The sequence below is a fragment of the Homo sapiens genome, chromosome 7 (assembly GCF_000001405.40).
Source record: "Homo sapiens chromosome 7, GRCh38.p14 Primary Assembly".
NCBI lineage: Eukaryota > Metazoa > Chordata > Mammalia > Primates > Hominidae > Homo > Homo sapiens.
Genome location: NC_000007.14, coordinates 96,831,548 through 96,834,672, shown reverse-complemented (window position 1 = coordinate 96,834,672; position 3,125 = coordinate 96,831,548). Strand labels below are relative to the sequence as shown.

The 3,125-nt window shown below is 35.6% G+C and overlaps 1 annotated feature.

Annotated features, from left to right (window-relative positions):
• Nucleotides 494-989: an enhancer, noted in NCBI's record as "eDlx#8 fragment used in the reporter transgene". NCBI's record gives its function as "activates a minimal E1b promoter in somatic muscle of transgenic zebrafish {active_cell/tissue: somatic muscle}" and the evidence as "EXISTENCE:transgenic organism evidence [ECO:0001131][PMID:22914741]".

The following is a 3,125-nucleotide window of genomic DNA, read 5'->3' as shown; positions in this document are numbered from 1 at the left end:
TATGAAGTATATTTAACATTCATTTTAAAATAGAAAGTACTATCATTGTCTTCTTGAAAAGCTCAAATATGAGTTTTTGGCTTTTTTCTGTATTGTTTGCTTCTAAAGAATTATTCATAAATGCTTTAAAGGAATAAACATAGCGTTATTGTGACTCTGCTTGATTAAAAATGCCATTCCCTTTTCCCAAATGTAAAGAGAATGAAGTTAGGATAAATAATCTTTGAGATATTTTACTTCAAATACTTAATGGCTTTAATATATGTCACGATAATACCTCGTTTTTAAAGCAAAGAACCTTTCTTATTTTCTCAGAAGCCTCAAAAGGCAAAGGAAAAATCAGTGTATTGATCCCTACAATGGATTCCAATGTTATTCTAGCTTCAGAAGGTGTCCAGTTACAGAGAAACATTTTAGTAATCATAAGGTTGAGACAGACCTTATGTGACCCTATTCATTCCTGACCAACAAATAGTTTTTGTTTAACTTCGAAATAAACCAGACAAACCCTGCAAGGTTACTTGTAATCATGACACCATTCTTAGAATTGCCATGTGCTGGGAACATGCCTTCTCGCTTCCTCCTTCTATCTACAGTGTAAATCTGAAGGACTTTGTTATGGCTCTTATACTTGGCACATCTTAGGCCTATTTAGAACATCAACACCATCAATCACATAATATGGGGCCGACCAGCTGGATGAACCCTGGCTATCATTCAGGGGTTATTTGTCATCTGGGCATGTCTGTTTGGTATATAACACTCCTTCAGTCCCAGAACAATTTTCCCCCTCCAAAAGTATTCTCTTTGATTCAGGAAACACGTGATTAATAAAGGACAAGGGTTTAAAGCCTGAGGTCAAGGCTAAAAGTCTTAACCAAACAAGTGCATTGCTTACTAACGTTTGCATCAGCAGTTAAAAATTCCCTTGAAGAACTCCCACACCGAAGAAACACACATCTATTCTTAAATGCCATAAATTTCAGGGGACTTCAGCAACTATGATCATCTTGAGAGATTTATTTTAAAATAATGTTGTGCATCAGAAATGTTTTGCTGCAGAATAATAACACTGCATCAAGCATTTAAAAGGCTCAGTACAAACATTTACAATTTAATATAAAAAAATTAGGGTTGAAAAGACACAGTTTAACCAATACGATATGTAAAGGAAATTTGTACTATAACATTAGGACAATTTACATTAAAAATAAATTGTTTTCTAAGATGTCTATTTACACTTAAATGGATTTAAAAGCAACACTCCTTCCCTCATATCCTTTGGCTTATTTATATGCCAATCTACAATACTTTATAGTACTTTTCCATTAGATAGTTTTTATTTTATATTTGTTTCCCTTTCTTTCACCAAAAGAAGCTTGTTTCATGTTCATAGAATATTTTCTTCCTTCTAGGCAACTTATAGTTCCACCCTGTAATAGTATTTGCCTAGTATTTATCTGATATTATGAATTGTTGGATGTATGTATAATGACAGAAAAAAAGCAAATTTTAACAACATACATTTAAAAAGTAATTGTTGGTTAAGGTTTTAAATTGTCCTAACATGACTTAACTGGAACTGACTTCATTTCTTAATCTAAAAAAATTGATTTAATAGTGTTTATTTCATTGGAATTATAAAGGGAGTCACAAACTCCCACTGGAATTCTAAACAGAGTTTCTCAGAAGATGATAAATAGATTGTGTTATAGCACTGATAATGTTGCAAGGCCTAAGGAGCTCATGTCAGTTGTTACTTTATCCAACTTGTAGAGACTTCTAAGTTCCTGAACACAGGCCACTTTAGGTAATCAGATTTGCTAGAGTTCATCTTTCTATACCTCCCACCTCTCTGCCAAATACCAAAGGAATAAAAATAGAAGCTCGGTACAAAACACACTGTATTAAAAATAAGTTGTCATTGAAATTCATACAGGCAATGCATTTATCCTGTAGACTGCATTAGAATCATAGCTTTGCAAGCAAAAAGGGGTTTCCATGTCCTCTGGTCAGATTGCTCATCCTACTGCTGTGGAAATTGAGCCTTTAGGAAGGAACTGGCAGAGGTAAGACTAGAACACTGGTCTCCCATGTCCCTGTCCAGTGTTTCCTGTGTTGAGATATAAAGCCCTCTTATGGCTCAACAGTTAGTGCAGAATCTTCGGGTTAATCTGACTTGCTCTAGCTTGGCCATCTGTTGCTCCACTACTTATGCTAATATGTTAACATTATATACTTGACTGTTGATGGGGCCTTCTTGGCACTATACATGCATAATGCTCCCAGTTAACTCAGTTGACCCTGTTAAACAATGACAATGTGTGTGAGGTCCAAGTTTGTTCACATTCATTTTTACAAAAACAGGGTTACTGACCTTGTCATATTTAACAGTGTTGAGTAGACACAGCAATGTAGATCCTGAGGGCAAATAAAGAATTTCCATTGGTCATGTAAGAACTATGTTAATTAGCTTCCCCCTCCATTCTGCTTCCAGACACTGCATAACTCTATAGTTCAGCTAGAAGGCTCACTGAGCCCTAAACTAATAAAACCCAAGAATTTTTATGAATAATAATTTACAAAATGTATTTGAGCATGCACAACTTAGAAATGTGTTCATATGTGTTTCTCTAAGAAACAGTGGCTTTTGCAGAGCAGTGTGCCTGGGGGAAGTTATCACTCTATTTTTGCTGTTGCATCTCTACTGCATAGAAGTGAAACAATGAAGTAGACTGATTTTTTAAAAAAAGACATAAAATGGAGCCAAGTGTGGTGGCATGTGCCTGAGTATAGTCCCAGATACTCAGGGGGCTAAGAAGGAGGATTGCTTGAGCCCAAGGCTGTGGTGCTCTGTGATCATGCCTGTGAATAGCCACTGCACTCCAGGCTGGGCAACATAGCGAGACTCCATCTCTAAAAGAAATAAAAAATGAAAATAGAGTCATCTCTTTATCTATATTCTCTAAGAACCATTTTCTCAGCTTGAGATAAAAAAAATGCTGCCACACAATGACTAAGGAATTATATGTGGGGCTGGTTCACATATCTAAGCACTGGATATGAGCATTCTTACCTTAGTAGAAAAACAAGCTAAGTTAATTTTTCAACAAGCAGTATTACCT